Below are 12,274 nucleotides of genomic sequence, written 5' to 3' on the forward strand. Positions count from 1 at the left end.
TTTGGTCCCAAAGGACACCTAATGTGGCTTATAAATGAAGAGCAAAGAGTAAAGGACCGGCAGCTCGCTGTGTGGTTGCTGTTTGTGAGGAGGCTGGGGGAAGAGAGGGAGGAGCTGGTAACATGAAACACTGCCATTGTTCAAAGATTAATCATTTCTGTGTGATGCATTCATATGTCTATTGTGATGCTATAACTGGTAGTTAGTAATTTTCTACTTCTTTGAACCAATACTTTAGTTTTGTGTTTGAGAACCCTATTTTTTCTAGCCTACTTAGGAATTCTTTTTGGCATTAATTAGAAATCTGTATTCTGTGGTCATTCTATGACATGACACCATGTCTCCACCACCTTCCTCCCGGTTATTTATTCACCAAACATGGCATTTAAATAACTCATCTGGAAGTTGATGGTAAGTTCTGTTATTTGATTAAGAGCCAGTTTCTTTCTCCAAATGAATGGGTCTCCATAGAGAGACCCATTAGATTCGATTAGATTTGAGTTTTGCTTTACAGGCACAGCATAAAGGCTTGTGTGTATGTTAGATAGTGTGTGGTCCTTTGTTTTCGATGTGGCTGTTAGAGATTGTACTCAAGTGGTGAGCTCTGTGTCAGCAGTCCCAACCCTGCTCGTGGTGCAGCAGCGGGGGCAGGCGAAGTCTTACTTATGGACTTCCTTTGTTACAGTTATTGTATCCGTCTCACAGATAGAGTTTATAAAATGCAGGTTGGCCCCTTTAAGTGCGGGCACTGGTGTTAAAAATACCCACATTTCCCCCGTGTAATCATTCTGAAATCAGTGGCTGAGGGCAAGAGGTTCTAGCCCAGACTCCTCCTGGGCTGACTGTGGCCCTAGGCATGTCCCCTCCCCACCCCACCGACTTCCGGCTTTGTTTCCTCATCTGTAAAAATAAAGAGTGGGAGACTTGTCCCCGAGTTCCCTTTGGGCACTAGCCCTGACTTGTCTAGGGGAGTCAGGAGTCGGTAGAGAGGACATGAAGCACAGTTGTAATGGAAACACTCACAGAACCAGGGTGGGGCGGCCAGGATTGGCAAAACTGTCCTGGGATTCTGAAGCTCTTTCCCCTAGGATCCCTTTTAGAATTGAAGACGCCAGTTGATATCGTGGCTGTGTGTTAGCCCAAATGCTTATGTCCCTGCGTGTTTTCTCCTGCCTTTCCACACCTTCCTTCCCTTCGTGAAAGTAATAAGGAGTCAGAACTACAACAAAGTAAAATTGGGGTGTTCAGCTTAGGGATGTAATCAACAGTCTCACTCCCTTTAGAAATGAGCCTCGTTTCCATAGTGAAGTTGGGCCGAGTGGGATCCTCCATTGTCATAGAGTTCTTTGTGTACAGGTTTGGGTTGAAGGACAACAAAATAAACAGAACCAGACCCACCACCCAGCATTTGGACGCCACGCCGGGGCTGGACAAAGTGGACTTGCTGTCCGTGTACCTGAGTGTCAGGGTGGTTTTGCCCTGTGCCCTGCCAAATCAGAGTGAATGAACATTCCTGTCTCTGTTTAGCAGACTTGGCCCTTTGGAAACTCAAGAAATGCATCCTGAAAAAGCTGGCACTGTGCTTTCCTCTTAGGACCACAATAGGCAAAAAAAAAAAAAACAAAAAACTGAAGTACTTTCCCTATCTCTAACCCTCCTTTTTTCCTTTTTGGAGTAAACAATGGCATTTGTAATGATCTGGGCAAGTTTTAATTAGGCAGTCAAGGAACAAGGTAGGCATTTTTTTAGGGATCATTTAAAGTAACATATTTTATCCTTATTTTGTTGGGAAATAGGGCAACAATGTACAGTGTAAAAACCAGCAGTAAAATTAAGTTGGCCCTTTCGGATGCTTTTTAATTAGAAGCCTCTAGAGGTCAGCACCACATAAAGAAAGGGCTTTTGAGTTCAGGGTGATCATGATGCCCATCTCCTTGTGGAGCTTTTGGAAAGGAGGGTTGGTGAATGTCCAGGCTGGGGAAAGAGAAGTGAAGAGCCGCCTTCTTTATACATAAACCCTAACATTTGACTGGGTTGTTTTTTTCCCTGCTCACCCATCTTTGCAGCTCCCACACCCCTGCGTCACACACTGTCAGTTCGATAAACATGACTTATTGACCGGTCGATGAAGTGTGCCATTTAGCTCATGCTGAGAAGGGCTGGGGAAATGCCGAAGATGAGATGGAAGGCACATTGCATTTTGCTTGGAGCAAGGTGGGAGGATGCTGGGTGTTCCAAGGCCTTTCAAAATATTTGTTAGCCCGTAGCCTGTTAAACTCTGCAACTTCCAGTGGAACATCAGGGAACACAGGTTTCTACCTAGAATCCATATCTGGCTCCCTGAAGCCTGCACAGATCAGGGGTGGGCTGGGGGAGGATTTGAGCATCTTCAGGAGGTCTGGCCAGAACTGAGATAGTTGGGAGCCCCTAAAAACTTGCAGACATACCTGTGGATCCCCGAAGTACAAGACCCAAGAGCACTGTGCAGTGATGGCCACAGGCTTCATAGACCACCGGAATTCAAGTCCAAAACGACAGGCAGCCTTGGGAGGCCACAGAGGCTCCTGGTGTTGCCCCGGGGTTTCATTTTGGCCCAACAAGGAACAGGAAGGGGAAACAATACAAAGGCTTTCCTCCCTTCTCTTTCCCTTGCCCCTTCTGTTCAGGGTTTACTGTTCCTGTCTACTAAGGAAGGCTTGACCCATAACACAAATAGTATTGACAATTACTCTGCTGGGTGATTAGATGAGCCTTGGACCCTGAGGTTCTTTCACTCACTGAGAAGATACATTGGTGGAAAGGACAACAAATATGTCACAGGCACGATGGAAGCCCAGTCTTAACATCTTAGCACTTAGTGGCATAACAGCGATTTCACTAGTACTATTAGATTTCAAAATGCTGAGTTTGGATCCTCGTGAGTATGGGCTGTATTCTTTGCAAGTATGGAACAGTCTGATTCTGATGACTTTTCAGTTGTTTTGTCATGAAGCCAACAGTGCTGAGTAAATATGCCCCACCTGTGTGTGCTATTACATATAAAAATTTTTTTGTAACAAACTTTTATGTAGTCCTTGCTAAGTGCCACACACTGTACTAAGTTTCTTTTAACTCATTTAATCCCTCCAACAATCCTACAAGGTAGATATTATGGTTGATATTCTCTTTTTACAGATGAGGAAACTGAGGCACAGAGAATCTAAGTAACTCTCACAAGATCACACAGCTAGTAAGTGCCAGAGCTGGGATTTGGACCCAGGCAGTTTGGTTTCAGAACTCTTAACTACTCTGCTGAATAATGAATGTCGTGGGTGTTGGTCTTACATTTACTGAAATCTATGATTTTTTTTCACACCACAGCACAGAGGCCCTGCCTGCCCGTATACTTCACGCAGTGCATGCTGCTAATATCCATGGTTGCCTGGGAACAGATGGAGTGAAGAGAGCATTTCCCTAGCTATTTGCCTTGCCTGTGGGCAGGTTGGCCGCGCAGGGTGGTTTAGGATAATAGCAGACACATTTTTTTTCTGGTATCCATGTACTTACAAAGATTTTTGAAAGTGACTGGAAGAACCGGGGCGACAAGTTTATAAAACAGGATCCTCAGATGGGGGCAGGGCTGGGGAAACAACCAATTGGCTTTCCATTCTGTACCCTTCTTTCTAGACCTTGTTCCCTGAGGAGCTCTTTACAAGGGTGTTACAGACTCCTCTAAGTGTCTCCCTCCTCATAGCGAAAGGGCTTTTACTCAGAGTTACCTTGAAGCAACCAGCAGCAGAAATGCATTGTCTAGTCAAGAGGAGGCCTGGGAGCAAGAAGAAAGCTCTCTTCGTCTGCTGATGTGTGGTAACATGCCATTGAGTCACCATCCCACACCAAGGGTTCCAGTCTGTGGCCCTACCCCTCAGCCATCCAAATACATTTCTAGCCTGCCTTCCTGCTCCACGCAGAGGCAGCGTGCACAAACACCCTCAATACCACCGCCACTGCTGGATGACTGTCGTGCTATTGTGCAGAAGGAATAAGTGCAAATCTGAGACCCCATTTCAAAGGCAAACACAATTCACTTTTGAGCTCATCGGGTTGTTTGGATCATCTCTGCCACGATTTTCTCCATTCCTATGGGAAAGAAAAGCTGGCCAGATCAGTATCCCATAAGAAATGCAGGCACTCCAAATCTGCTGTTCTTGCTTCTAAGATTCTGAGTGCTATCACATGGTTCCCGAATGACAGGCTCCAGGTCCTGCCATGGGAGAGTGGGCTTGCTGGTGAGTGGCTACAGGGAGAAGGTGCTAAACCTCAGGAGCAGCACTTTTGTGTTTTCCAAATGATGCACGGATGAGAGAAAGGAACGCAGGAAAGGTGAGTCAAAAACAAACCTTTGGAAATACAAAAATAAGGAGCATAGAGCTGCACAGGTTTGAAAAGAGGAGGAGGCAGTGTCATGTGTAAATGCATGTTGGGTTTCTGGATCTGATGCGTGCCTTCCTGCATGACTTTGGTCATTTAGATGTTTAGTTTCTTCTACTCAGGAATGTTAGGGGGCATTTTGAGCCTGGGGCTACAAGAGGCTAAAAAAAACTACAAACTGTTGTGCAGAATCAACTTTGGAATGGATCTGGAAAGTCAGAATTTAAAAATTTTACTTCAGTATTCCCTAAAGTCAGAAATGTAAATCCAGTAACGGGAAAGGACATGAAATGTACAGTCCCCCCTCAAGTCTCACTCTGGGTGATGCCACTCTGGGTGGATGCTTTCACCTCATCAGATGCATCTGGGAGAGCTGGCCCGGGTCTGTCTGTCCCACCGGACCCCACGCTCCCCCCCTTCTCTCCTCTCCCACCTTGCCTGATGTGGAGCACTTTGTAATAAAGAGGTTCATTCCCTGAATTTAATATGGGGTGTCATCAAGGCCTTTACTAGACAAGAAGCATGTCCTCTCCTTCCCAGCAGCGATGACCTCCCCACAAGAACATGCCTCTCGCCGAGGTCTTCATCCCTCTCCAGAAAAGGAGACCCAAGCAGCAGCACCCAGGGCAGAGCCTCCGTTCCTACTTCATGGATGTGAAATACCCAGGATGCTACAAAATCACCATGGTCTTCAGTCACAAACGTGTGTTGGCCGCGCCACCATCCTCTCTCTGCCAGCGCACAGGAGGAAAAGCAAGACCCACAGAAGGACGTTCCTGTAGGAGGAAGCAGCACAGAAAGCACTCTAAGGGAAGAAGAATGAGATACCATCCCCATACACACATTCTGGGAAATACAAAACATGCCCTTCATATTTCCAAGTGGCCTTAGTTTTCAAACTGTACTCAGAGAAAAATCCCCATCTGAAAAATGACTCTTGTTGAGCCCGCATTGTTTGCCAGCTGGCTTTCCATGGCAGCTCTGGCTGGAGAGAACCCTGGATGCTTAAGCAGTCCTTTTCCTTCCTCCTGTTAGGATGATGTGTGGGAGAGTGAGGAAGAGGGAGTCAAAAAAGGGAAAGGGATGAATGAAGTCATCTCAACGCACATGGATTGTTTCTTTGGTGTTTTGTGGAGATTTCACTCCAGGGGCCTCGGGCAAACCAGTTTACTTGGGTAGAAGCATACGTTGCTCACCTGGCCAAGTTTTCTCAGTGGAAGATGGCTTAGCCATTCTTTGCCACGCTTACTTTTGGTCCTGTATATGTAAAGTTGACCAAAACCCTCACAAGGGCCATGATCCGATCTGCTTTCTCCCATCGTCTGCTACTCTCCTGCCTATCTCGCATCCCCAGGCTAAAACTGGTGGTTTGGCTGAGGAGTGGGTTATGCTTCATGGTACAGCTAAAGTTATCCTGATCTCTCTTGATATCCCCTTCCTTCAAAGACTCTGTTTCCGACCCTGGCCAGCTCCCAAATAGCTCCTGTAATTGGTTACAAGCAAGGCTAAGTGAGATAGTGATTTGATTCTGGAAGCACAAACCAGTGCCTCCCTGGTGGGTAGGAAGCATCTTCTCCATGTTCACCTCACAAGCTTTTGAAAAAAACCTGTCATTCAGAAGCAAGCCAAAACTGTCATCTCGCTCGATGCTAATGAACTCATCAAATCCATTCGCAGGGTTTCGGCTCTTCAGAACTCTGGCCAAGCCTTTGCTTAGCACATGAAAGAATATTCCCTGGGGTGCTTTTCAAACCCTAATTTGACCCCATACCTCTAAACTGTGGAAGAACACAGACACAATTGGCCACATGCTCTTGAAAAATTCAATCTGAAAGCTAGTGTTGGTGACTACAGACAGGATTTTGATAAAAGTAAAACACCGAGCCGGGTATGCTGCTTGCCGCTAGGAGTTTGTCTCCCTGGAGGACAGTCCTGCCTGCCCACTGCTGAGGAAGAGCATTCCATATGTGGAGTGGACAGGGAAGCTCCTGGGAAATACAGTGACCTTGGCCTCTTAATCCATCAACAAAATAATGGCACTTTTATGAGAACTCTAGAAATAGAACTTTTCATCCGGCACCATCTTATGGTACGCTTTGGAGCAGTGATGTCACCAAGGAGACAGAAACTAGGGAATTCATCCTCTTGGGCCGGGTGACTAATCCTGTTTCCCAACCTCAGAACATTTGCTGATATCATCCATCTTCCCGAAACCACACCAGCCTGGGGGTAAGAAGAGAGTGACATCAACTCACAAATTCACATTTCTGTGACTGTAACGCGTACTTTGGGGATTCCCAGCCCTTCTCGTATTCCTCCCAAATATTCCGGGAGGTGGTCCTAGGGGGCTGACTCGTGTGCTTCCCAAGTTCATCTTCTGTGGCACCGGGTGTTCTCCCTGGCTTTAGTGCACAGCCTCTCTTCTGATGCTGCAGAACCCCATAATGGCAGTGGGTTTGCCAGAGCCCACAGAGGGGCACAAGGTCACCCACCAGAGGAGCCCACTTTCCTGCCACTACCCACCAGTGTTTACCCTGAGGCTGCCAGCATGAGGCAGTGAGGACCTGGGTGTGTGGTCCAGGGTGCTGTTGCCAGTGACCACAGAGAGTGCCACACCAATGAGCAATGAGTGATGCCCCAGTGACAGCTCTCTCCATTTTTATTCATCTTTCATTCCAGCCACTCACCGAAGGGGCATGAGTCCAAACAGTTGGACATTGCTCTGAGTAACAGAGCCAGAATCTCCTTTTCATCCAGCCTTGCCATTGTCACCCATGAACCCAGTTTGTGAGCTTGACATGTTTTTCTTAGGATGAGCTCTGCCCACTGAGGCTCCTTGGGTCCTCCTGTAAGGAAGCTCCTGGCAGATCCAACCTCCTGACATACCAATATGTCCAGAAACAACATTAGCTGGGTCTTGCCATCCCCCTGAAATAGGGTGGGTAATTCCTTTGGGTGGCCCTAAGGTGCTGAGTGGAGGGGATTTAGCCAGGGCAGAGGAATGCTAAAGTCCCGAAAGTCTCCCTTCCCACACAGAAGTACTTTGGTGAGGAGGCTGTGGGTGAGGTGACTCTCTACACCTATGAAAGCTCTTTTGCTTAGGGTTGACCATTAAAAAGTGATTTCTTGACCCTCAGGGTAACAAAAGCCTGGCCCACCAATCAAGCCAGCAAGTTTCAAACTTTAAGGCTCCTAAGAATCACCTGGTGGTGGGGCCAGAGCGGAGGGTTGGTGCTGTGAAACATGCAGATTCTTGGGCTGCGCTCCAGAATCTGGAGACAGAATCTGGACACAGGAAGCTGCAAGTTTACAAATACTCCAGGTTTACAGTTTACAAATATGTCAGGCCGTCCTCATGTAGGTGGTTCATGGACCACACTTTAAGAAACTCTGGGTTGAGCCGGCCTCCAGGCTCACCATGTCATTCACTATGTCTACAGGGAGCCAAGATTCATCACAACGTGACTGGGTGCCAGGAGCTGGGCAAAATTCCTTCCTGATCCTAACACATCTCATTCTATAAAAATAAAATCCTTGTACAGATGCCACAGTGATCTCCATTAACATCTCAAAACTTGGGGAAAAAAAAGTCTCTCTTCTAAGCTCACATGGTGACAGAGCTGGGGGCAGCTAGTTGTGCCTGACTCCAAAGCATGGTCTCTCATCATAGGATGTCACATTGCTTCTGTGACATTTAGGGGATATGAATGAGCAGAGGCCAAGTTGTATTTGGCTGCATGCTTGATTGCGTAGAAAAATGACGACACTACCCTTGGTACATCTATTGGCCCCAACAGGAAGGAGATGAAAGTATTGCAAAGGGAACAGTGAGCCTAGACTGAATCAGAGGACTCCCAGAAATTCGCTGCACTCTCATGATATAATTATGCCATCAGGTTGGCCAGTTGAGGATTACACTTCAGAAGAAGGCAGATGTCATTATCTAAATAGGCCATTCTGTACTCATTTCTTTGTTTGCTTGTTTCTTGTCAGTCCATCCACTGGATCATAAACCTAATGAAGGCAAAGCTCTGTTTGTCCTGTTCTTCACAGAATCCCCAGTGTTTAGCACAGTCCTGGCCTTCTAGAAACCTTTGTCGAATGAATGAATGCATGGGTCATGGGGAGATGAAAGGCAGTGTTACTCTTTCTCTGGGGGGACATGGGAAGGCTGCTTCACTCTCAGATCAGTGCACTCTCATTCATGTGTTGAGTGGCAGGTGCTGGAAGTCAGAGCATCTGAAATGCAAGCTCCTGTGCCCCTTCCCTGGACCTCAGGTCTCCAACATTGGGGCATGTGGTTGGTAAGTCTCTGAGATTCTCAGGTATATCAGGGAATAGGAACTGGAGGGGGTGGATGGTACAGGTCTCTGTGCCCCCACCCCATGATCCCTAGATGACCATCCAGAAAGTGTCATCAGCCAATTGGAAAGTCATGAAGCAGACACAGCCCTAGACTATTCTAGTGGGAAGGCAAGAACATGTGCTGTGTCCCCGCCTGCTTTCCAACCTAAGGTAGAGGCTGTCCCAGGCACAAGAGCACTTTCAGGTCACTGGTGTAGCTTTTCCAAGGCTGCCTGCCTCTGCACCATCTCTGGGAAGATTCCGAAACTGCCCCATTCCAGTGGGGTGGCCTAGGGGCAGAAAAATGCTCCATGTGCCTCCCAGGCAGAGGTGGGAGCTTGGGGTGGCATTTCTTTAATGAAGTCACCTAGGTTTTCACATCTAGAACTGTGGACATCCAGGCTCCTGCTCACTGCTCTGAGTCACCGGAAGCCTGGAATGATGAGGCTTTTTTTCAAACACTATCTAAGAATCTTTGATGAATCCTCATCATCTGCCATCAGGCACCACGATTTCATGATCCCCAAAGGAGTAGGGCAGGTTCCTGAAGATCTCCCGGGGTCGGTCCACTGGCGCTGGGCCACTGACTCCATGGAAGTGGTTGGTGCAGCTGGCCTTCGAGACTCTGTGCCTTCAGAACCTCATATAGTCTGGCTGTGTCCCCCACCCAAAATTTCATCTTGAATTGTAATTCCCATAATCCCCATAATCCTTAAGTGCCAAGGGCGAGACCAGGGGGAGGTAATTGGATCATGGGGGCGGCCCCCCTGTGCAGTTCTCATGATAAGTGAGTCTCATGAGATCTGATGGTTTTATAAGCATCTGGCATTTCCACTGCTGGCACTCACTCTGTCCTGCTGCCCTGTGAAGAAGGTGCCTGCCTTTCCTTTGCCTTCTGCCATGGTTGTTAAGTTTCCTGAGGCCTCCCCAGTAAGTGGAACTGTGAGCCAATTAAATCTCTTTCCTTCATACATTACCCAGTCTCAGGTATTTATTCATAGCAGTGAGAACTGACTAATACAAAACCCTATTTGTTTTTCGCTTCCATCTGCTTTCCTTTTCCAGTTACTTCATTCTAATTGGTGTTCCTTTCCTACTTCTGGGTTCGTACCTCCCTTCTCATTACTGCTGTGACACATTCTCCCTCTACTGACTGGCAGGCCTGCCCTTCTCCCTGGTGACTGTTCAGGCAGGCCTTAGTGACCACGTGTGTTCACCCTAACCATAGACTTGACCCTTCTGCTTCAAACCCCATTGGAAATTGGCATTTCCTTGCTATTCTGAAAGATGGGAATGGGAATTTGGATTTGAGAGAACTGTAATAGAGCTCTGACACCTTCCTAGAGTCTGGGTGGCAGACTGGGTTCTGACTGGGACCAGATTCCACTTGTCCTTCCTCCTGGCAGGGTGTGTGTTAACTTCAGGGAGCCCAAGTCATTGTAACTCGTGTGCACAGACAACTAGAATCTGTGCCCAAGATGGGTCAGTGAGTCTCGAGTGATGATTCAAATTCATTTTCTTGCCAGGCAAACAAAATCTCTGACTTGCCTGGACTCCCTGTGAAGCTAGCTGCAGCTGCCAGTGCTGGTCTGTGGTGGCCCCAGGCTATGGGATTTGAACAGCTGCCTGCTAACAGCACCACCTCCTCTCCCGGATTTATCTTGCACCATTGCGCCCACAGCTGGGCCTGTGCAGAATGTACAGCATGATGCTGATGCTGTTCAGGCTGCCAGCCCATTGGAAGCACAGCAAATGACTTCTATTTATAGAGAAGGCATTCCTGGGCCACACACAGCACTCTTGGCCTGCTGAGAAGTCGGCCAAGTCCCTGACAGACACCAAGGGGCAAGACTGCAAGCCTCCTCTGCCAGAGAAGGCATTGTTCTGTCGCACACAATGGTAGAGCGGCCCTGGCATGATGTCAGATGAGTTGACAGTAGCAGCAGCTGCCTGTACGTTCCCTCTCCTCGTTTACAGCTGAGCTCTGCCAAACCCAGGGAGCAGTCCGGAGTTTTAGGTTTGGATTTTGGAAAATGAATTGCACCAAGAGGCCAGGACCGTCTTGCTTCAGTTGGCTTAGTAAGGAAATGGCCACAAGCCATAGGTGGTAATTTAGCAGTGGCTGCCTGAGTCGTTAGGGGAATGTAACCACAAAAGGCAGTAGAACGGGCAGCCAGGGCCATTGCAGGGCACAGTCACAGTGGCTGGCCAGGAGGTCTGATGGGGAGGCCTTTCCTTCCTGAAGACCCAGCCTCCCCTGGAATCCTCCCATTTCCCGAGGCCTAGCTGGTGGCACCCAAAACCCACGAGAGAGCTGCAACAGAGAGCTGGGCTGTCTCAGGTAAATGCAGGAAGGGCTACCCCTCTGTGGGTGAGTGATACTAGCTTCTTTAGGCAGCCTTTAGGTTCCCATTCATTAGTTAACTCTGGCTATACCTGAGAAGACAGAGTAACCAGCCTGGTGGTTGAGTGTACACTGTAGAGAAATACAGAGCCAGCCTTAGTCCCAGCTCCACCACTTGCTAGCTGTGGGGCTCTGAGCTAGTTAATTCAATTTGTCCAGTCCTCAGATTTTCCACTAGTAATTTGGGATTAAATAACCCGATAAGAAAATGAACCAAGGACACAGAGAGGCAATTCATAGAATAAAAAATACAAGTGGACAATAAATATATGAAAATGTGTTCAAGCTCTCTAGCTGTTAGAGAACTGCAAATTAAAATAAGGCCTCATTCCTGGCAAATGTTACAAGATTGATAATGCCCAGCACTGGCACGGAGGCGTTGGCACACACTATTGGTGGGAACGTAAATTGGCTCGGTCACATTAAAAGATCATTTCTCAGTCTCTATAAAGATTTTATGTGCAAACCCTTTGACTTCACAATCCCACTTCTCAAAATCTATCCTGGAGAAATAATTGCATGTTATGGATATAGTGGTCAGTGTAAAATTGCTGGTAATCTTAAATAAAAGGACAGAAAAAGAAAAAGGAAAGAATAGCAGAAAGCCCAAGTCATGAGCATGTAATTGCAGGTAGAGCTACAGGTTCTGAAATGGGAACAACTCCAATATACATGGTTATCTGGAAAGAATATATCAGGGGAACAATACACGTAGGCCAATCACATTATATTAAAAAATGTATATTTTCGTTTTTCTAAGTAAGGCCATGGAAAAGGTCCAGGAGGCTGCACTTTCCACTGTGCACAGTGGTTACCTCTGGGTGAGGACAGTCGGAGGGAGGGAGGGAGACTTTCATTTTTTACTCCATATACAGATGCCCCTCAACTTCATAAGCAAAAATGTCATAAGTCACAATGCATTTAACCAACCTGCCAAACATCATAGCTTAGCCCAGCCTACCTTAAACATGCTCAGAACACTTACATTAACCTACTCCTGGGCAACATCATCTCACACAAAGGCTATTTTGTAATAAAGTGCTGAATAGCTCATGTAATTTATCGAATACAGCACACTGTAAGGTGTCACTTGTTTACCCTCATGATCGCGTGGCT

The 12,274-nt window shown here is 47.2% G+C and overlaps 1 pseudogene, besides 4 other annotated features; it reads left to right on the forward strand.

Annotated features, from left to right (window-relative positions):
• Positions 650-709: a silencer, noted in NCBI's record as "silent region_18058". NCBI's record gives its function as "represses an Ori minimal core promoter by ATAC-STARR-seq in GM12878 lymphoblastoid cells {active_cell/tissue: GM12878}" and the evidence as "EXISTENCE:reporter gene assay evidence [ECO:0000049][PMID:35858748]".
• Positions 5,029-5,205, forward strand: RPS27P16 (ribosomal protein S27 pseudogene 16; annotated as a pseudogene).
• Positions 5,762-6,587: an enhancer, noted in NCBI's record as "OCT4-NANOG-H3K27ac-H3K4me1 hESC enhancer chr7:30208177-30209002 (GRCh37/hg19 assembly coordinates)". NCBI's record gives its function as "activates a minimal SCP1, AML or CMV promoter by ChIP-STARR-seq in naive and primed H9 embryonic stem cells {active_cell/tissue: H9 hESC(naive and primed)}" and the evidence as "EXISTENCE:reporter gene assay evidence [ECO:0000049][PMID:30033119]".
• Positions 5,762-7,109: a biological region, named in NCBI's record as "P300/CBP strongly-dependent group 1 enhancer GRCh37_chr7:30208325-30209524".
• Positions 5,910-7,109: an enhancer, noted in NCBI's record as "P300/CBP strongly-dependent group 1 enhancer chr7:30208325-30209524 (GRCh37/hg19 assembly coordinates)". NCBI's record gives its function as "activates an origin of replication core promoter dependent on BRD2, BRD4, P300/CBP, MED14 and CDK7 cofactors, with strong dependence on P300/CBP, by STARR-seq in HCT116 cells {active_cell/tissue: HCT116}" and the evidence as "EXISTENCE:reporter gene assay evidence [ECO:0000049][PMID:35650434]".

The sequence above is a fragment of the Homo sapiens genome, chromosome 7, assembly GCF_000001405.40.
Source record: "Homo sapiens chromosome 7, GRCh38.p14 Primary Assembly".
NCBI classification, from domain to species: domain Eukaryota; kingdom Metazoa; phylum Chordata; class Mammalia; order Primates; family Hominidae; genus Homo; species Homo sapiens.